Here is a 22,521-nt window from a genome sequence, read left to right as displayed (position 1 = left end):
GACAATTAAGACAAAGTGAGAATGGCTTTTAAAAACGTCAGAAATTAAACTCAAGTACATGCCTGTGGAAAAACAAAGTACACTGTTTGAACACAAGGGATTTGTTCTCTCAATATCCAAATAACTTTTAAAGCAGTAATGAGAAGTCAAAAAGGTATAAATTTTTTTTTTTTTTTTTTGAGACGGAGTCTTGCTCTGTCGCCCAGGCTGGAGTGCAGTGGCATGATCTCGGCTCACTGCAAGCTCCACCTCCCAGGTTCACACCATTCTCCTGCCTCAGCCTCCTGAGTAGCTGGAACTACAGGCGCCCGCCACCACGCCCGGCTAACTTTTTGTACTTTTAGTAGAGACGGGGTTTCACCATGTTAGCCAGGATGTTCTCGATCTCCTGACCTCGTGATTCGCCCACCTTGGTCTCCCAAAGTGCTGGGATTATAGGTGTGAGCCACTGTGCCTGGCCAATAAAAAAGTATATAATTTATATTGGAGTAAAAGAATCACCCTCACTAATAGTTAATTGAAGAGATTAACAACAGGATGATAAATGAGATCCCCCATCCACCCATGAAATTCCTGAGATTTTTAACATAAACAATACTCACCACGTGAGGCTGTGTATGCAGCAGCCAGGAGTCCTGAGCACCCCACGACCTGAGGCTGGCGGAGGAGAGATTCACTGCAGTGCACCAATGTGTTAAGACAGAACCAAGATACAACGTTGGTTCCTCAATTAGCCTCTTTAATTATATGGATGAAAGCTTAGTTTTTAAAAAATTATCTTCACACAAAGTTCACAGTTTCAAAGAAAAATATAATGCCATAGGTGGGAAGAAAAGATGGGAAGAAAACAACCAAAATGATCTTTGTAGAAAACCCATCCTCTGCCCATCACATGAGGAAAACAGAAGGCAGGTGATCAGTTCAGTACAAGGTCCAGTTCCAAGGAGGAAGTGACTACATTTAGAAACATAAGCAGGTGGGTGTTGGATCAGGCCAATGAGAACCCGAAGTCCAGCAAACAAATAATCACATACCCAGGAAGTGCTGGGAATGATGGAGTGACCAAGGTCTCAGAGCAACCCTACCCAGGGATATAAGGGGGTCCAGGCTCAGGGGGCTCCACACCTGCACCTCCATCTCATCTGCTCCTCTACCTGCTCCACCCTCAATCCACCAGAACCATGGGCTGCTGTGGCTGCTCTGGAGGCTGTGGCTCCGGCTGTGGGGGCTGTGGCTCCGGCTGTGGGGGCTGTGGCTCTGGCTGTGGGGGCTGTGGCTCCGGCTGTGGGGGCTGTGGCTCCGGCTGTGGGGGCTGTGGCTCCAGCTGCTGTGTGCCCATCTGCTGCTGCAAACCTGTGTGCTGCTGTGTGCCAGCCTGTTCCTGCTCCAGCTGTGGCTCCTGTGGGGGCTCCAAGGGGGGCTATGGCTCTTGTGGGGGTTCCAAGGGGGGCTGTGTCTCCTGTGGGGGTTCCAAGGGGGGCTGTGGCTCCTGTGGGGGCTCCAAGGGGGGCTGTGGCTCCTGTGGGGGTTCCAAGGGGGGCTGTGGCTCCTGTGGGGGCTCCAAAGGAGGCTGTGGCTCTTGTGGCTGCTCCCAGTGCAGCTGCTGTAAGCCCTGCTGCTTCTCTTCAGGCTGTGGGTCATCCTGCTGCCAGTCCAGCTGCTGTAAGCCCTGCTGCTCCTCCTCAGGTTGTGGGTCATCCTGCTGCCAGTCCAGCTGCTGCAAGCCCTACTGCTGCCAGTCCAGCTGCTGTAAGCCCTGCTGCTCCTCCTCAGGTTGTGGGTCATCCTGCTGCCAGTCCAGTTGCTGCAATCCCTGCTGCTCCCAGTCTAGTTGCTGTGTCCCTGTGTGCTGCCAGTGTAAGATCTGAGGCTCTGGACTCAGGCCTCATGTGAGTCCTGCTAATCCTGTCTTCCAAAGCTGTGACCTGTCCTTCATTGTTGAGCCCCAAATCATTGCTCAGGGTCCATTCCCTGCTGTAGAACGATGCCATATCTGGCTGCCTTTTCCTAAGAAGAGTCCACCCTAATTAATGTCCATTGTCTCTCCTAACAAATTCTCTCCCCAAGTCAACTGCAATTGCAGCTGAATCACCCCTCACCCACTAGCCTCGCCTTTGCTCATCTTTTCAGAGGCCTGAGCTCCTGAACCCACTTGCAGTCCTGTCTTTTCCAGCTGGAGCAGCTGGGCATAAGCGTCCCACCTGCAACAAGGTGGGCGTTTAAGAGGCTTCCTTGGAGTGGCTTTGCATGTCCAACACTCTGCTGTATCTTTTTTTTTTTTTTTTTTTTTTTGAGATGGAGTCTCGCACTGTCACCCAGGCTGGAGTGCAGTGGCACCATCTCGGCTCACTGCAAGCTCCGCCTCCCGGGTTCACTCCATTCTCCTGCCTCAGCCTCCCCAGTAGCTGGGACTACAGGTGCCCGCCACCACGCCCGGCTAATTTTTTTTTTATTATTATTAGTAGAGACAGGGTTTCACCATGTTAACCAGGATCACACTGCTTTATCTTAAACAGAAAGTTGCAAACTAATAAAAATACCATGCCGACAAACTGAAACACATATCTTGCTGATTTCTCTGTTGTTCGGTGTCATTACTATGGCTATGGCTATTGTTTTCTTATTCTTGTTATATTTCGGACTCCGTGAGTCTGATGGTGATGTTGCTGGAAGGTGCTAGGATGGGGCTGGCTGTCTCCGCTGCCTCTCGTCCGTCTCAAAAAAAGAAAAAAAAAAAGGTAAGAGTCAAACCTGGAGAAACTCTGTATAGACAGACTTGAAACAATCTGAACACCAATTTCTTAACTGGACTGATACACATCAAATATGTTTAAACTAGGAGTGAGTAATCATACGCACACACATACATACACAAATAATAATAGAGATACTATGCAAACTGTAAAATTTAGTTGCCTTTAGAGGATTCTAGGAATCAAGTCATTATTTCGAAGATGACTATATAAAGGAAAATAATCAGGCACTTATTCTATCTCTGATAGAGAAACTCTATCTTACGGTAACCAAAAAATTAGAGGAAGTATTCCAGTTTATAAATAAAGAAGAAATCGTAGAATTAGAAGCTAACCATTTTGTAACCCCTAATGAAATAATGGGGCTATCAAATTTACTGCATGCAGCCAAATCAGTGCTTAGAGAAAAATTTATAGCCTTAAATGCATATGTTGGAGTAAAAAAAAAAAAAAAGCTTAAGCTCATTTAGGCAAAAACCTATCTATAGGACTGGCAGCATTGCCACACAGAGCCCAGAATGGGGTGGTAATTAGGGCTATTTGTAGGCATCCTGGTTCTCCTCTCCTTCTGGGAACAGGTTGGATGGCAGGTGGTAGGGTGGCCCTTCCATGAGCCCTCTCTAAGTCAGGTGTGGCCATGTGATTTGCTTGCGTCAGTGGGAAGAAGTTTGAAGCACCTGCTGCAGTCTTCTGCATTCTCCGTTTCTTCTCCTACCATGACCACCAACATTCCAAGCAGTGGCTGCTGCTTCCGACTGAGTCCCAGAGTGACGAAGCACAGAGCAGAGTCACCAGCTGACGTGCAGTGGCCTGGGATATGAACAGGAAGTAAGCCTGTGTCGTGTGAAGTCACTGAAACGTGGGGGTGGCGCGTGTGAGCAGCGTAATTGGTCTATCCTGGTTGACCCAGAAACCTACCAGAACAAAAACATAGCATTGTGGGCCTGGTTTATTGGTCAGAGGGTGGGTGGAAAGGAAAGTTATTAGAGGTGAGAAAGGTAGTTATTATGTGTTTGGTAAGACTGTCCCAGATCGTGTATCCCTGAGGGAAGAGTTCAGAAAACACAATGCCACTCCCACGTGGGTCGTTGTGGCTGCATTTATCAAAGCATTACAAGAACAGGGTGAGCTCGAAAGAACCGGCTGATTTGCCAGCCAGGAGGAAAGTTCTAGAAAGCCTGGAGAAACCTGGGGAGCTACAGAGTTCTCAGTTCTGCCTGGTAAATGGTAAGACTTAGAAGGCTTTTGAGCAGCAAAGAACAATTGAAGCTCAAATGAAAGGAATTTTTTTTTTTTCTTTTTTTTATTTGAGACGGAGTCTCACTCTGTTGCCCAGGCTGGAGTGTAGTGGCACGATCTCGGCTCACTGCAAGCTCTGCCTCCCAGGTTCACACCATTCTCCTACCTCAGCCTCCCAAGTAGCTGGGACTACAGGCGCCCACCACCACGACTGGCTAATTTTTTTTTTCTGTATTTTTAGTAGAGATGAGGTTTCACCGTGTTAGCCAGGATGGTCTCGATCTTCTGACCTCATGATCCGCCTGCCTCAGCCTCCCAAAGTCCTGGGATTACAGGCATGAGCCACCGTGCTCGGCTAAAAGGAACCCTTTTTAAGGGTACACTTTGATGAGGTTCCATGAGAACAGACCACACTGAGGTAGGGAGTTGGTAGCTGCCTCCAGCCTGGCCAGTGGGGCAGGAGGGGCTGCTGTGGGGTCAGTGGGTCCGGAAGAAGACGCCGGAAACTTCTCCCCCCATGGCTCACTTGGCGTTCTCTTTGCTTGGCCTGTGGCTCCTGTGGGTAAATTCATGTCCTGCTGTGTGATGAAGAGGTTTCTGCAGGGAAGAGGGGGAGGTGTTTGGCCCAGGCAGGACCCAGTGACCTGCAGATCAAAGATGGCCTCACTACCACGGTAATGGGCACCAGAGAAGAGCCTGCCGCCAGCCATTCGTTGGAAACAGGCCCAACAGAACCAATGCTGTCTGTGCTTGTGGTGTGGGGGTAGAAGAGAAAGAGAAAGAAACCCAAAACCTTCCTTAATAATGAACAGATGTCACATGATTGTTAGCAAGATTTAAGACATAGTTGTAACTCTCCATGAAATCAACAAAGAGAAAATCACGTGTTGGACATTTTATGCATAATTTTTTGATAAAATCATAGGATTGCCTGCTGCAACATCCTTCATTTCACAGTTGGCCGTGACAGAATGACGCTGAAGGGAGTCGCGTAGCAAAAACAACTGAGCTCCTTCTCATCCTTCACGGACGCCTCTCTTTGAGGTCAACTCACCCCATTGGGAAGCCTCTATCTTGCCTCCTTGACCAGCTTCTCTTTCAGGGTGAACCGCCTGATCTTCACCGTGGTGGCCTTGCCTGGCTCCCAGCAGATGTTCTCCAATGTCACTTTCAGTGACATCACAGAATCCTACGTTTCTTTTCTTGCAAGCATTGCAATTTTACTTAAAATCTGCATCGTAAATATGACTGTGGAAAATGTATTTAAGAGAGCTGGTTCTGCAAAGACATGAAAGACATTTGGGAGGGGGTGTGTGGGAATAAGTGATATTGTTAAGTAAACGAGCTGCTTGAGTGGAGAACACTTTTGGAAGTGGTCAGCTTGGCCCCATCTGTGCTAAAAATACAAAAAAAGAAAAAATTAGCCAGATGTGGTGGTGGGCGCCTGTAGTCCCAGCTACTCGGGAGGCTGAGGCAGGAGAATGGTGTTAACCCAGGAGGCGGAGCTTGCAGTGAGCCGAGATGGTGCCACTGCACTCCAGCCTGGGTGACAGAGCAAGACTCTGTCTCAAAAAAAAAAGAAGTAGTCAGCTTGGGCTTGGCTCACTCCTGTAATCCCAGTACTTTGGGAGGTTAAGGAAGAAGGAACACTTTAGCTCAGGAGTTCAAGACCAACCTGGGTGACATAGCAAGACCCCGTCTCTGCAGAAAAATGAAAGAATTAGCTGGGCATGGTGGTGCACACCTGCAGTCCCAGCTAATGGGGAGGCTAAGGTGGAAGAATCTCTTGAGCCTGGGAGGTTGAGGCTACAGTGAGTTATGATTGCACTGCTACACTCCAGCCTGGGTGACAGAGTGAGACCCTGTCTCAAATAAATAAAAAATAAATAAATAAATGACATTGTCAGCTTGTTTACTTGTTTGTGATTATTTTCTTTTTTACCTTCCTCTTCTTGTTTTTAATAGAGATAGAGTCTCACTGTGTTGCCCAGGCTGGTCTCGAACTCCTGGGCTCAAGGGATCCTCCTGCCTCAGTCTCTCGAGTAGCTGGTACTACAGGCATGCACCACTGCCACTAGTGAATATTTTGAAGGCCTGATGATTTACAATGAGCACAGGGAGACCCTGTATGGAGCCTAGAGATGTTGGCTGGTTGTGGAGTGGTCACCGAGGGAGCATCTTAGCATGAATCTCTGGTCAGAGTGATCGGGGAACCAGACTCAGTCTGGAAACAAGCAGGGGACACCTTCAGCTTACAGACAGCAGATTGTGGAGTTGCTCAACTTCCATAATTGCAGGGTCCAATTCTTCAGAATCATCTATGTATCTATCTATGTATCTATTTATCTATGTATCTATCGATCATCTAGGTATCTCTGTATCCATCTATGTAAGTATGTAAGTACCTATCTATGTATCTATGTATCCATCTATGTATGCATGTACGTATGTATCTATGTATCTATTTACGTATCTATCGATCATCTACGTATCTCTATATCCATCTATGTATGTATGTAAGTACCTATCTATGTATCCATCTATGTATGTATGTATCTATCTATGTATCTATGTATCCATCTATGTATGTATGTGTGTATGTATGTATGTCTGTATCTAGCTAGCTAGCTACGTATCTATGTATCCATGTATGTATCCATGTGTGTATCTATGTATCTATGTACCTATCTATCTATCTATCTATCTATCTATGTAGGGACAGAGCCAGCCCAGTGCAGAGCCCTGGCTTCCTTTCTGTGCCACCAGCCACTCCACCTCAGTCTCCATTGCTTAATTCTCCTCCTCCAGGCCCTGAGCACTGGGCGGTGCCAGGTTCAGCCGGGGGGTCTCTATCTCACCTGCGACCTCCTCCATGTCTCTCACAACACCTTCCCCTCTAGGTTCCACACTCACAGGCCCAGGTGCCTGCTTCTCATGGACATCTGGCCTTTCAAACTAAGCACATCCCAGACTGAACTCCTCCTCCTTCCCCTGGAACCAACGCCTTCCCAGCCTTCCCCATTGTAGTTCACAGCAGCTCCATCCTTCCCAGGGCTCAGGATAGAAGCCTGGGCATCCTCTTGACTCCTCTTCCACCCTCCACATCCAATCCAACAGCAAATCTCCAAGGTTCTACCTTGGAAAAGTATTTGGAATCTGATTCGCCAATTGCCTAATTGGTGATTTATCCAATGACCGCCTTCACTGCCACCACCCGATATTGACAGCACCTCGTGCATTCCAGCTACTCTCCCACACACTTTATAAACATGACTCCCTGAGTATCTGTGAGGTATGCACTCTTTTTTCAATTTAACTTTTTATATTCGGGTGATTGTAGATTCACCTGCAGTTACTCATAAGAAGTTACTCGTAAGAAGTTACTCGTAAGAAGACACAAAGGGGATCTCATGTACCCTTTCCCATGTCCCCGGTGACAGCATCTGGAATGCAGGTAACATAACAACACAGTGATATTGACCTTGGCACGGTCACAATACAGATCATTTCTCTAGCAAGGACCCCACGCGTTGCCCTGATGCAGCCCCCACATTTCCCTCCTGTTCTCCATTTCTGTAATTTTGTCATTTCGAGAATGCTCCATGAATGGAAACACACAGTGTGTAACCTTTTAAGACTGGCTTTTCCTACCCAGCATGATTCTCTGGAGATTCATCTGGGTCATCGAGCGTCTGTCATTCCTGCCATTTCATGGCTGAGACGTGTCCCCTGGCAGAGGTGAACCAGTGTGTTTCCCCTTCACCCATCAAGGGACATGTGGGTGTCTCCAGCATTTGGTGATCATGAATAAGCCTCCTATTAACATTTGTGGACAGGTTTTCCGTGTGCACATGTCTCTGGGATAAATGCCCAGGAGTGAGATTGCTGTGTTGAATGGCGGTTGTGTGGTTAGTTTTTTTCATAAGCTGCCAACCTATCTTCCAGAGTGGCTGTACCATTTTGCATTCCCACCATCAACATACGAGTGGCCCAGCTTCTCTGCCTTTTGCCAGCATTTGGTGTCGCTGCTATTTTTTTGTTAAGCCATTCTCATAGGGGCATCATGATATCGCATTACTGGTTAGTTTGTCTTTCCTAAAGTCTGAGGATGTCAAACTTCCTCTCACATCCTTATTTGCCACTGTACGTCCTCTTCAGAGAATTGTCTCTTCAAGTCTTTTGCCCATTTTTGGATCGGATTGTTTTTGTGTTTATGTATGATTTGCTGTTGTGTTTTGAGAGTTCTTTACATGGTCTAGATTTGTATATTCCAGTCCTTTGTCAGATATGTGGTTTGTAAATATTTTGGTTAGGGTGCAAAGTTATTTTATTTATTATTTATTTACTATTATTTTTAGACAGGTTCTCACTTTGTTGCCCAGGCTGGAGTGCAGTGGTGCAATAATGGCTCACCGTCCCCTTGATCTTCCAGGCTCAAGTGATCCTCCCAACTCAGCCTCCCAAGTAGCTGGGACCACAGGTGCACATCAGTATGCCTTTTTTTTTTTTTTTTTTGTAGAGATGGGGTCTCCCTAAGTTGCCTAGACTGGTCTCAAAATCCTGGACTCAAGTGATCCTCCCGCCTTGGCCTCTTACAGTGTTGAGATTACAGGCATGAGCCACCATGCCTGTAAGCCAAAATTCTTTTTAATATACTGCTGAATTCTATTATGAATAGTATATTTTTCTTTTCCTCTGTCACAGCAACTGGCTGCCTGGGTTATGGAATAAGAGGCAGAGCCCCAGGTGTCTTGTGGTGGTGGGAGGTGTGGGTTGACTCAGCTACTGAGATCTTGGTGTGGTTTGTTGCTGCAGCACAACCCAGGCCATCCTGACTGACACTGGGTGACCGAGGGGCTGGAAAAGAAAACATGCCGAGAAAGGCAGTTTCCACACGAATACACAAAAATCTATACTGCATTAATCAGGGTTCTCCAGAGACACAGAACCAGTGGGAGATTAGGTACATAGGTAGATTAGATAGATAGATAGATGCATACATACATAGATAATAGATACATAAATGGATAGATAGATACAAAGATAGATAATAGACATATAGATACATAGATGGATATATATAGAGATACATAGATGATAGATAGATACATAGACACATAGATACATACATAGGTAGATACATACATAAATAAATAGATGATAGGTAGATAGATAGCTACATAGACAGATACATAGTTAGATAGCTACATAGATAGATACATACTTACATAGATACACAGATAGATACATGGATACATAGATACAAAGATAGATACATAGATGGATAGATACATATATAGATACATAGATGATAGATACATGCATAGATAAATAGATACATAGCTACATAGTTACATAGATAGATAGATAGATAGATACATACATACATACATACACACAGAGAGAGATACACAGATACACAGATGATTATGAAGAATTGGCCCATGCGATTCTGGAGGCTGAGCAGCTCCATGATCTGCTGTCTGTAAGCTGAAGACCTAGGAAAGCCGGCGGGGTCATTCTGTTCAAGTCCAAAGGCCCGAGAACCAGGGAGCTGACGGTGTGAGTGTAAGTCCGAGGGCAGGAGACCGATGTGCCAGCTGGAGCGGTCAGGCAGAAAGGGACTTCCTCCACGTTTTGATCTATTCGGGCCCTCAGTGGATCAGAGGAAGCCACCCACATTGGGGAGGGCGTCTGCTTTCCTGAGTCCACTGATCCCAATGCTGGTCTCATCCAGAAACTGCCCTCACCGACCACCAAGAAATAACATTCAGCCAAATATCCGGGCACCCTGGGATCCAGCCAAATTGACACATAAAATTAACCATCACATATACCTGATTCAAGATTTTAAAACAGATGACAAAAGTTTTCAACTTTTACAGAAAAATATATCATGATCTCAGAGAAGTATTTCCTAAATAAGGCCCCAAATACTCTAATTCTAAAGGAAGAGGTGGGTGAATTGATAAGTTAAAATTAAACACTCAAGGATTCTCATTTAACAAGGGAAGGCCTCGCGAGAATGAAAAGATGAACCAAGGAGGATCTTGCAACATAAAAGCTGACCACACGATAGTTTGCTGAGTAAATGACGAGTAATGGGAGCAGCACACCAACATGGCACATGGATACATATGTAACAAACCTGCCCGTTGTGCACATGTACCCTAAAACTTAAAGTATAATAATAATAAAATAAAATAAAATAAAATAAAATAAAATAAAGCTGACCGTGGCTCAGCATTTGAAAACCCAAAGAGCTCACACCAATTAGCAAGCAAAGAAAACAACTAAACAGAGGAACCAACTCATAGACATCAGCAGGCATTTTATAAAAGAGGAAAGACAGGTCGGGCGCAGTGGCTCACACTTGTAATCCCAGCACTTTGGGAGGCCGAGGCGGGCAGATCACGAGGTCAGGAGATCGAGACCACGGTGAAACCCCGTCTCTACTAAAAATACAAAAAAAAAAAAAAAAAAATTAGCAGGGCGTGGTGGCGGGCGCCTATAGTCCCAGCTACTCAGAGAGGCTGAGGCAGGAGAATGGCGTGAACCCGGGAGGCGGAGCTTGCAGTGAGCCGAGATCGGGCCACTGCATCCAGCCTGGGTGACAGAGCGAGACTCCGTCTCAAAAAAAAAAAAAAAAGAAAGAAAGAAAAGAAAAGAGGAAAGACAAAGACTTGGTGGGTGCAGTTACCTTTGTTCCCACGGGCTCCATAGTCTGGTGATGGGGGTGGGGGCTGGAGTGAGCAGGCATTTCCCAGTCTTAGAACTCCAGCTTCAGCCTTCAGCCTTCTCCAATTGCCCACATGGCACAGGGGCTCTCTCCAGGGTCTTTCCCGTGCCTCAGCTGTCTATTGCAACAGCAACGGGTTTTTTGGTATTTGAGATGATCAAGTTGGTTCTAAAATTTAGCTGGAGAAGTAAAGGAATTGGAAACAAACAAAACAATCTTTAAAAAGAAGAATGAAGTTGGAGTCTCACAATACTTAACTTCAAAACCTCCCATAATGTCACAGTGACGCTGTGTTTGCATTAGGAAGCGGCATACAGACCTGCGGAGCGGGACACAGGAAGAAACTCGCCATCGTGTCGGCTGATTCTCATTAAAAACACCAGTGATTTCAGTGGGATAAGCACGGTTTGTTTGTTTGTTTGTTTGTTTATATCGAGACAGAGTCTCACTCTGTCACCCAGGCTGGAGCGCAGTGCTGCAGTCTCGGCTCACCGCAGCCTCTACCTCCCGGGTTAAAGCGATTCTCCTGCCTCAGTCCCCTGAGTAGCTGGGATTACAGGCGCCCCCCACCATGTCTGGCTAATTTTTGTATTTTTGGTAGAGACAGGGTTTTGCCATGTTGGCCAGGCTGGTCTTGCACTCCTGACCTCAGGTGATCTGCCCTCCTTGGCCTCCCAAAGTGCTGGGATTCCAGGCGTGAGCCACTGCGCCTGGCCAGGAAGGTCTTTTTATCAAATGCTGCTGAAACAATTGGATGAAAATGTGAAAAAATGGATCTCAACTCCTACCTCACATTACACGCAAAAATTAGCTTGAGATCCATCATAGAACTAAATATAGAAACTAAAACTCTAATGCTTCTAAAGGAAATGCTAGGAAAAAGGGTTTTCAAAGAGGTCACAAGAAAGCACTAGCTGTCAAAACAAATGTTAACGTGGACTTCAAAATCAAAAACATTTCCATATAAAAAGTTCAGATAACAATAAGGCAAGTCAAATACTAGAAAATTATATACAATATATATATTCTACATATATATATTATATACACACATATACACATGTATATGAAATATATATGTAAATATATATACGTACATATGGCAAAGCACTTCACATATTCATTCTTGATATAGAATTTATGAAGAGTTCCAACAACTCAATAACAAAAAGACAAAAAAAAATCACAATAAAATGGGCAAACAATTTTAGCAAAACTTTTTAACAAGAAAGATGTGCAAATGTCCAATAAGTGCAAGAAAGAATCCTTGCGAACATTAGTCATCAGAGAAACACAGGTCAAAATGCACACGAGATGCGATTTTACACCCATCCGATGCCTCACATTTGAAAAGCCGCTGGCTGGTACTGACAGGCCTGGGGCAGCGGACACTCTCAGGCATTGCTGGGGAGGGGGAAAGCAGCATGAGCATTTGGAAAGCTGTCTGTTTCTTAGCAAGTTAAGCATACACTACTCTATGGTCTAGCAAGGCCAGTCCTCAATATTTGACCAAAAAATTAAAACTAAAAACATGAATACGGAAGGACTGGAAGGCATGATTATGTGTTATTCATCATCGCCCCAAACTGTGAACGATTCAAATATGTATGAACGTGAGAACGGGGGAACGCAGTGGAGAATATTTTTACATGGAATAAGGGGGGCCCCACCCCTCATATTTTCTTATGCCCAATTTCTGTCTCCAAAGAAAAAAGAAGTAAAAACTAAATCCACAGGCAGACAGCCCGGTGCCACACCCTGGGCCTGGTAGTTAAAGATTGACCCCTGACCTAATCGGTTATATTATCTATAGATTCCAGACATTGTATGGAAAAGCATTGTGAAAATCCCTGTCCTGTCCTGTTCCGTTCTGATTGCCGGTGCATGCAGCCCCCAGTCACGTACCCCCTGCTTGCTCAATCGATCACGACCCTCTCACACAGACCCCCTTAGAGTTGTAAGCCCTTAAAAGGGACAGGAATTGCTCACTTGGGGAGCTTGGTTTTTGGAGACCTGAGTCTGCCAATGCTCCCAGCTGAATAAAGCCCTTTCCTTCTACAATTCAGTGTCTGAGGGGTTCTTGTCTGCGGCTCGCCCTGCTACAGAAACACTATGCGGTGATTACAAAAGAAGAAGAAGGCCAGGCGTGGTGGCTCATGCCTGTAATCCCAGCACATTGGGAGGCTGGGGCAGGTGGATCGCTTGAGCCCAGGAGGTCGAGGCTGCAGTGAGCCATGAGCGCACCACTCTGCACTCCAGCCTGGGTGACAGAGCAAGACCCTGTCTCAAAAAAAAAAAAAAAAAAAAAAAAAGAAGAAGAGCAAATCATTGACACACAGAATAACATCGTGAGGGAAAGAAACCAGAGTACATTTTTAATGATTTCATTTTTGCAACATTCAACAACAGGCACAACTGGTCAGCAGAGCTGTGCCTGGAGCGATGGGCAGGAAGGGAAGGCGGCGAAAGGGAAACTTCTGGGGGTGAAGCAGTTGGTCATGGTTGGAGTGATGGGCACACGAGTACATGTTTAGCGGAACTCATGGAATTGTACACTCAAAATATGTGCAGAGCCCAGGAGACCAAGGCTGCAGTGAGCTAGGATCACACCACTGCCCTCCAGCCCGGGCGACAGAATGCGACCCCGTCTCAAAAAAAAAAAAAAAAAAATGCAGCCCAAGCCTGGTGGCTCATGCCTGTAATCCCAACACTTTGGGAGGCCAAGGCAGGTGGATCACCTGAGGTCAGGGGTTCGAGACCAGCCTGGCGAACATAGTGAAACCCCGTCTCTACTAAAAATACAAAATTAGCTGGGTGTGGTGGTGGGTGCCTGTAATCCCAGCTACTTGGGAGGCTGAGGCAGGAGAATTGCTTGAACTCGGGAGGCAGAGGTTGTAGTGAGCTGAAATTGCATCACTGCACTCCAGCCTGGGTGACAGAGGGAGACTCAGAAAAAAAATTTTTTTTCACTGCATGTAAATTTTACCTTAATAAAAAATTAAAATTTGGCTGGGTGCAGTGGCTCACACCTGTAATCCCAGCACTTTGGGAGACTGAGGCGGGTGGTTCACCTGAGGTCAGGAGTTCGAAACCAGCCTGCCCAACATGGTGAAACTCTGTCTTCACTAAAAATACAAAAAAATTAGCCAGGCCTGGTGGTGGGCGCCTGTAATTCCAGCTACTGGGGAGGCTGAGGCAGGAAAATTGCTTGAACCCAGGAGGCAGAGATTGCAGTGAGCCGAGATTGCGTCACTGCACTTTAGCCCTGGTGACAAGAGCGATACTCCTTCTCAAAAAAAAAATATTAAAATTAATCTTTTAGAAAATAAAAGTGTGTTAGAGAGGTTGGCTAATCAAAATTTTTGTAGCCTTCAAGAAGAATAAACTTGAAGAATATCCATTGATTTGTAGAATTTTTACAAAGAATTAATAGAGGAAAACTCAAAAGCATTAGAAAGGGTCCTGTTCCTCTGTTCCCTCTGTGAGCCCAGCTTGCCTGAAGGGAACGTGGGTCTAATCCGTGTCTGGAGGAGTGAGCCAAACCGCAGGAGGAAGAGGTAAGAAAGACAAAGGAGAACCAGGGCCACACTCAAATCCATGCTCTTCAAAACTTTGTTTTACAGATTTGACAAAATATTTATACTTGAAGTTTTTAAGCGGTGGAACCTATAGACAGCCTTTCTTTCAGCTTATTTTTTTAATTTTTATTTTATTTTATTTTTTACCAAATGACCATCCTTGATATAAACACCAATGCCAGGGGGTGGAGGGTCTGCATCGCTGAGGAGAGCCCTGAGCACCAAGGACAATGGTCCACCCTTCGGCCAAGCAACCACCGCCTCCCAGGCTCCTGGGACACCCACTGGAGAGGGAGCCCAGTGTCTTCTAACAAAGGGAAACACCTATGAGGAAGAGGCCAAATTTAGAAACCAAGGAAAGGACAGCTTGGCTTGAGCTGATGGTGGCTCATGGGATTGTGGAGAGATTAAAAATAACACTTGTGCATGTGAAATAGCAGAAACAACAACAGAAGTATTCACGTGTTCAGTATAAACACCTGGGCAGGAATATAAAGAGCCCGGGCTCAGAGAACTCCACACCTGCACACCTCCCTCTCACCTGCTCCTCTACCTGCTCCACCCTCAACCCACCAGAACCATGGGCTGCTCTGGCTGCTCTGGAGGCTGTGGCTCCAGCTGTGGGGGCTGTGGCTCCAGCTGTGGGGGCTGTGGCTCCGGCTATGGGGGCTGTGGCTCCGGCTGCTGTGTACCTGTCTGCTGCTGCAAGCCCGTGTGCTGCTGTGTGCCAGCCTGTTCCTGCTCCAGCTGTGGCTCCTGTGGGGGCTCCAAGGGGGTCTGTGGCTCTTGTGGGGGCTGCAAGGGGGGCTGTGGCTCCTGTGGAGGCTCCAAGGGGGGCTGTGGCTCCAGCTGCTGTGTGCCCGTCTGCTGCTCCTCCAGCTGTGGCTCCTGTGGGGGTTCCAAGGGGGTCTGTGGATTTCGTGGGGGCTCCAAGGGGGGCTGCGGTTCTTGTGGCTGCTCCCAGTGCAGCTGCTATAAGCCCTGCTGCTGCTCCTCAGGCTGTGGGTCATCCTGCTGCCAGTCCAGCTGCTGCAAGCCCAGCTGCTCCCAGTCCAGCTGCTGTAAGCCCTGCTGTTCCCAGTCCAGCTGCTGTAAGCCCTGCTGCTGCTCCTCAGGCTGTGGGTCATCCTGCTGCCAGTCCAGCTGCTGCAAACCCTGCTGTTCCCAGTCCAGCTGCTGTAAGCCCTGCTGCTGCTCCTCAGGCTGTGGGTCATCCTGCTGCCAGTCCAGCTGCTGCAAGCCCTGCTCCTCCCAGTCCAGCTGCTGTGTCCCAATTTGCTGCCAGTGCAAGATCTGAGGCTCTGCCCACAAACCTCAGTGGGTCCTACAGATCCGGGCTCTCCAGGAATGATTGCAGCTGTGTCCTGAATTCCTGAAGCACGTCTCTGAATCTGTCCTCCTCTGGACTAAGGCAGCCTAGCGTCCAGGGCTCAGTACTCAGCCGCTCAGCCTCTGAGGTCATGAGGGCTTCTGGCATGCTGGGTCCTGCCCATCAACCCTCCCGGAATCCCGTCTTCCTTTCCTGACCCCACCACTTCAACCTTCTCAGGGCTTCAAGATCCCACATCCCTGGGCCCCTCCTGTGAGCCTGCTGGAAACACGCTGACACTGGAATCCTCCGACCTGCTGCCGCCTCTCCCCGGTCCCCGCAACCTCCTGGCTCCTCCCCGCTTCGTCTTCATCCTGCCTGAGCTGCCACCGCTCCGATTGCTTTTGGAGTTGACCTAGAGGACTCGGAATTATTGGAGACCCCAGGATCCTCTCCTGAGGAGGAGGGGCGCCCAGTCTCCTCTTCTACCTCCGACCTGGCCCTGTTTCTTTCCCCAGGGCTTCGCCTTGTAAGTGCCTAGGCTAGATCTTCTAAATAAATACGATCTGCACCTCCCACGAGTTTGCATTGTGATTCTTTTGTTTCAACTTCTGTGTGATTAGAGAAATGTACACTTTCCACAGAGTTGCACTCCCAGGCATTTGGGAACCCCCCGTACCCTGCTGTGTGAGTTTGCTAGGGCTGCTCCACAAACCGTGTGGCTTAAGCAACAGGAGTGGATTGTCTCACAGTCTGGAGTCCGGAATCCGCCATCGAGGTGCCTCAGGGCCGGGTCCTCCTGAGGCCTCCCTCCGTGGCTTACTGATGCCGCCATCCCTATATCCTCACGTACTCATCCCTCTGTGTGTGTCTGCGTCCTCATCTCTTTGCATAAGGACACAGATTAGACTAGGGCCCACCCTACTCCATTAGGTCCATGTTTGAACTAATCACCCCTGTAAAGACCTATCTTCAAATAAGGTGCCATTCTGAGATACTGCGTTGAGGACTCCAACATATGAACCAGGGGGCACAACTCAGCCGTGGCATCCACTTGGCTTGGGGCGTCTCCGTCTTTCCCATCTTCCAGGATACAGAATTGGGAGGCCCCTTGGGCTTCTCTCCCCCACAAGTCGCCAAATCCCTCAGCATCTCCTGGAAGGCTTCCTACAGACATCTATTTCCTGCCTCCTTGTGACACCTCCCTACACAGACTTCTGATTCAGGTGCCCACCTGTCCCTTCCCTGCTGCCTCTGTCAGCTGGGGCTGCCAGAACAAAACCCACAGAGTAAGCCTGGAAGACGGAACAACAGACACCATTTCTCCCAGTTCCGGAGGCTGGAGGGCCTAGACCAAAGTCCAGCATGTTCGACTCATGGGGAGGGAAGGCAGGAGCTGGCGGAGGAGGAGGTGGGCTGCAAGGCTGGAGCCCCCAGACCCAGGCGTCTGTAACAGCAGAGCGCTGGAGGCTGCTCGGGAAGCCACCGTCTCACAGGATGGTAGGCAGTGAGTGCCTGGCGGAACTGCGACAAGAAAGTGAAAACTCAACAACACGGAAGTTTCAGAAATTGCTTCTGAGTTTCTGTTTCGGTAGTAAGGTTGACTAGACACTATTCACAACCCTGAAACTTCTAAAAGGACATGGTGAAACCCCGTCTCCACTAAAAATACAAAAATTAGCCAGGCATGGTGGTGGGCGCCTGTATCCCAGCTACTTGGGAGGCTGACGAAAGAGAATTGCTTGAACCCAGGAGGCGGAGGTTGCAGCGAGCCTAGATCGCACCACTGCATTCCAGCCTGGGCGACAGAGCTAGACTCTTTCTCTAAATAAATAAATAAATAAATACATAAGTAAGTAAATAAATAAAGCTTTAAAGTGCTATGTTTAAAGCATATATATTTTTTTTAAGTCACTGAGCTGTTGAAAAACTAAATAATCCTCAGAGCCAACAAGCAAGAGAGAGCTGGACCCACAGAGGAAGGTGAAAGTCAAAAACGGCCTCCACCCCATGGCTGGACCAGAAAGAGGCCCTGTCTGTTTTCTTCCACCTGTGTTATTGGAAAAAAATATTTGACAAGGAAACATACACCAAACCCAGCTCTTTTGTTTAAAAGCCAATTGCAAAAACACAGAACGAGTGACCTGGTTTAATGGTGGCTAAGAACGATAGAAAAAGGGCCTGGTCTATCTGAGTTAAATTTGAGCTCAGGATGAGGCTAGGGTGTGGTGTTGCTGCCGAAATCCACTCTGTGGTCTGAGGGTGGATTCGTAGCCACACGGTGTCCAACTCAGGGGTGAATGAGCCCCTCCCCATCAGCCCATGCTAGTTCCTTTAATGGACTTTTTTTTCAGAGCAGTTTTAGGTTCACAGCAAAATTGAGAGGAGTGGGCCACAACATCCCCCGTGCTCTACAATGAGAGCACTTCCTCAGAGCCCAAGACAGTAGGCCACTCTCTGGGGGTCCCCAGGGGCTCAGGGTGTGGCTGGCCTGTCCCCAGCTCAGGAGAGACCAGGAGTTGTCTAACAGTTCCTTCATTGGAAGTCTCTGTGGATGCCTCCCACGGACCTGAATGTTGAGGGCCCATGATTTCTACAGTACATTGAGGAGCCGGGATGCAGGGCCCCTATTTCCTCTATGTGTGCCCTGGACACCCCAGGCACAGGGGACAGGCCTGGCCCTGCAACCCCACCAGGGTCCTGACACCAGGCTTGGCCTGGCCTTGTGATGAGCAAGAGAAGAGGCAGGTCCAGAGACACCTCCTGCACGGGATCGCCTGCTTCCGACCCCCATGACAGGCAGTGGCCAGCATGGTGTGGAAGGGGCCAGGATGGCACACGGCAGGCTGCCCTGTAGCCCCAGATGGCTCCTGGCCTCAGGAAATTAATATCCACTGGAAAACTCATCACTTGGAGGCTGCCAGAGGGAAGGGTGAGTGTCACGTTCCTGCAGCCATGGCCAGCCAGCAGCATGCCCTGTGGCCTCTGGCCCAACCTGTGGGACAGGGACCCCAGACAGGGCACAAGTCCCAGTCCCAGAGGGTCCTGGCCTGATGCTAACCCAAGCCCTGTCAAGGGAAGGGCATCAGGGGCGCCATGGGCACCCAGCAGCAGCCAGGAGGATCACACAGGGGACTGAGCCTTCTGTGGCAGTGGCCGGACCCAGAACTTAGCCAAAAGCAGGGCAAGCCTCCTGGATCAGAGCGGGTGCTGCTGCCTGTGCATGCCCAGCAAGGCTGAGCCAGTGATGCTACCAGGGTCCATGAGGCAAGGGTGGGGCAGGAGCAGGCTGACCAGCCGCCAACCTCGTCCACTCCAGGAGGCAGGGATGGCCAAGCTCCCACGCCCTCGTGGCCGCCACCTGACCACCGATGGGGCAGAGGCCTGAGGCCAAGCAGTCAGTGCTGGGGCCCTGCTTCCAAGGTCTACAAACTGCTCCAGTCCGGAGGGCCAAAGATAATTGGGCACGTGAGGGCCCAGGAGGTCAGTTCCCTACGTCTGCCATCCTTGGCAGGTGCATTTCATGGTCAGAAAAAGTCAAGAAAGGTGACACCTCTCAGGTGTTATTATGAAGGACTCTCCCAAGACACATCTTTTTTTACATTTATTTTTATTGTACATATTCATGGTGGACAACATGGTGCTGTGGTAAACATGTACACTACTGAAATGATGGCTGCAATTAATATCTCCAACACCTTCCATGGTTCCTTTTTGTATGTGTGTGTATAAGTGTGTGTGCATGGGTGTGTTTGGATAAGTGTGTGTATGAGTGTGTATGCATGTGTATGAGTGTGTGTGTTTGTATGATTATGTGTGTATGAGTGTGTGTAAGGTGTGTTTTTAATTGTGTGTGAGACTGTGTGTATGTATGTATGTGTATGAGGGTGAGTGTGTGTGTGTATGTGTGTGTATGAGGGTAAGTATGTGTGTACGATGTTAGTGTGTGTGTATGTGTGTGTGGTAGGAGCACCTGGAGTCTTCTCTCAGCACACCTGCCACACACAACACCTGACTGTCACCTGTAGTCCTTGCACTGTGCACTGGACTGCTCGGCTCCCTCTCCTACACAACCGCAAGCCCTTGACCTCCTCCTCCCCCTTTCCTTCTTCCTCCAGACCCTGGTAACTACTGTTCTATTCTATGTTTCTATGTATTTGACTTTTTCAAAATGTGGAATATATGCATACATCTATACGTGTATATATGGAATATTCTTCAGCTTTCAAAAGAAGGAGATCTGGTTACTTACAACAACATGTACAAATCTGGAGGACATTACACAGGGTGAAAAGAGGCAGACACAGAAAGACAGACATCACACGCTCTCCCTCACACATGGAGTCTACAGGAGTGAAACTCACAGAAGCACAGAGTGCAAGCATGGGAACCAGAGGCAGGGAAAGGGGAAATGAGGAGGTGCTGGCCCAGGGGTCCAAAGCTTCAGTTCTTCAAGATAAATAAGGCTTGGAGACCCAATGCATAGCAAAGTGACCACAGGTAACAACACGGTGTTTATTATGTACTTAAAACGTACTGAGAGGGTAGATCCTACATGTTCTCACCACCAAGAAAAGAGAGAGAGAGAGAGAGAGCTATGTGAAGTGGCAGATGTCTTAATTATCTTGACTGTGGTGATTATTTCACAATGTAGACATATATGAGATCATCGAATTGTATGTCTTAAATATACACAATTAAAAAACAATAAAAGCCACCCCCAGTGCCAGGCCCCACAGGCACCCCCACCCAACCCTCCTACTTGCACATACAATGTATAAAAAATAGATGCGCATACACAATTGGGTATTGCTACCAATTCGGATTTTATTATCCACATTTCTTTGCAACTTAATTCTTTTCACTAGAACTTGTATCATGGTTGCCTCTCCTAGGAAGTAGATCTGGGTATAAGTCTATGTTTCTTTACGCGCATGCGTATTCATATATGTGGAGTTTTTCCACAAGTAGGATCACACATACTGGACTCACTTTTCACTGTCATTTGCTTTTTGTTGATTCCTACACACCTTCCCCACTCCACCCAGCCACTGTCCTACGTACCCCAGGCACACACTCAACATATGTGTAAAAGATATTTTTATTGCTTGCTACTAAAATAGGATCCTACAGGGCTCATTTCTCTGCATCTACATTTCACACTAGCCAGAGCCTTGAGGAAATTTCTCCAAGTCCACTGGTACAGGTGTAATCTTATTTTTTAGTGGGTATGACTTTTAGTATTAATTTTCAATTTGCTAGGATTCTTTTTCTGACACTGTAAATAATAGATCATACACATATATGTATACACGAATATGTTTACGTTTAATCTTTTTTCAGTAATTTCAAGACTAATTGTATTGATATGACCTAATTTTATTAGATATTGTTTTCAAAAAAACTGTAATAAATTGTATCCCCAGAACAATGTATGAGTACCTTTTCCCCCAATTTCACTAGCAATAGGTGTTATTATTCTTGTTAATTTTGGTCAGTCTAGTAGATATAAAATGTTGCAGGTAGCCACTAACTGAGTCCACTAGCGTGGGCAGAAAAGGAATTTACCAAGACAGTTGTAGGTAAGGAAAGGCAGATTTATTAGAGAATGTAGGAAAATACGTTGCAAGAATGGAAAGGGCAGGTCAGCAAGGGAGGAGCTGGCTGCCAGGAGACAAAGGCTTGCTGGGGATTTTATAGGATGGTGCTTGTGCCGGAGAGGGTTACATGCAGTGCTGATAATGCCAAGGTTTCAGTGAGCTAATTTGCATTTTTCTATCAACTGAGGTCATAAGTTGAGTGCAGGAAGATTGTGAGTTATGTGAGTTATTTGCATAGGAGGGCTAAGTCCTGCACCAGGAAGAAAGGCAGACTTGTAGTTCATCTGCCTTCTCTTTTTGCTTTCCCTTGGTCCAACCAACCTGGCTCCTTTTCCATCATTAGGACTCCACAGAAAAGATCCCGTGTATCTGACTACCAGTGAGTCTGATTTACTTTTTATATTTTTAATTGCACACTTCCATTTGTTTATCAGAGAATCATCTTTTTAAAAACTTGGTTGTTTGTATTCTACTTGTCAATTTGTAAGAGCTACTAATGTTTTATAGATTTTTTTTTTGAGACAGGGTCTCGCTCGGTTGTTGGAGTGCAGTGGCACAATGTCAGCTTACTACAACCTCTGCCTCCTTGGTTCAAGCAATTCTTCCACCTCAGCCTCCCAAGTAGCTGTGATTACAGGCATGCACCACCGTGCCCAGCTAGTTTTTATATTTTTAGTAGAGATGAGGTTTCACCATGTTGGCCTGGCTGGTCTTGAACTCTTGGCCTCATGTGATCCACCTGCCTTGGGCTCCCAAATTGCTGGGATTATAGGCATGAGCCATCGTGCTCGGCCAGTGTTTTATAGATTATAGAACTAATAAATGAATCCAGCAAGTTTTCAGAATACAGGACCAATATATAAAAATCAATTGTATTTCTACTCACTTGCAACTCTGAAAGTGACAAAACACTGTTGAAAGAAACTAAAGAAGATCTAAAACATCCCAGATTTGTTGTGGACTGAATATTCATGTTCTTTCAAATTCATATGTTGAATCCATCACTCCCATTGTGGTTGTATATGGAGACGAGTTCTCCAAGGAAGAAATTAAGGTTACGTAAGGTCATAAGGGCTTCCACAGGATTTGCATCTTCATAAGAAGAGACACCAGGGAGCATTTGCCTCTGTCTCGCTCTCTCTTTCTCTCTCTCTCTCTCTCTCTCTCTTCCTCCCTCCAACTCTTTCTCTCTCCACACACAAAGGAAAGGCCATGTGAGCAAAGAGTGGGAAAGCGGCCATCTGCAACCAAAGGAGAGAGCCCTCACCAGAAACAAAAGTTGCTTGCACCCGATCTTGGACTT

General features: G+C 47.2%; 2 protein-coding genes across 2 annotated transcripts, besides 1 other annotated feature; both read left to right on the top strand.

Moving 5' to 3' along the window:
- The first annotated feature begins 1,136 nt into the window (after positions 1-1,136).
- Positions 1,137-2,317, top strand: KRTAP5-4 (keratin associated protein 5-4). Its single transcript, NM_001347674.1, has one exon. It carries the CDS (start codon positions 1,182-1,184, stop codon positions 1,866-1,868), a length of 687 nt encoding a protein of 228 aa, NP_001334603.1. The 5' UTR covers positions 1,137-1,181; the 3' UTR covers positions 1,869-2,317.
- Positions 2,894-4,093: an enhancer, noted in NCBI's record as "BRD4-independent group 4 enhancer chr11:1640412-1641611 (GRCh37/hg19 assembly coordinates)". NCBI's record gives its function as "activates an origin of replication core promoter dependent on BRD2, P300/CBP, MED14 and CDK7 cofactors, and independent of BRD4, by STARR-seq in HCT116 cells {active_cell/tissue: HCT116}" and the evidence as "EXISTENCE:reporter gene assay evidence [ECO:0000049][PMID:35650434]".
- On the top strand, positions 14,812-15,710 carry KRTAP5-3 (keratin associated protein 5-3). The gene has a single exon (NM_001012708.2). The coding sequence runs from the start codon at positions 14,890-14,892 to the stop codon at positions 15,604-15,606; it is 717 nt and encodes a 238-aa protein (NP_001012726.1). The 5' UTR covers positions 14,812-14,889; the 3' UTR covers positions 15,607-15,710.
- Positions 15,711-22,521: the final 6,811 nt, after the last annotated feature.

The sequence above is a fragment of the Homo sapiens genome, chromosome 11, assembly GCF_000001405.40.
Source record: "Homo sapiens chromosome 11, GRCh38.p14 Primary Assembly".
Classification (NCBI taxonomy): domain Eukaryota; kingdom Metazoa; phylum Chordata; class Mammalia; order Primates; family Hominidae; genus Homo; species Homo sapiens.
Note: the sequence above shows the minus strand (reverse complement) of the source record. Positions and strands in the feature narration are given on the sequence as shown.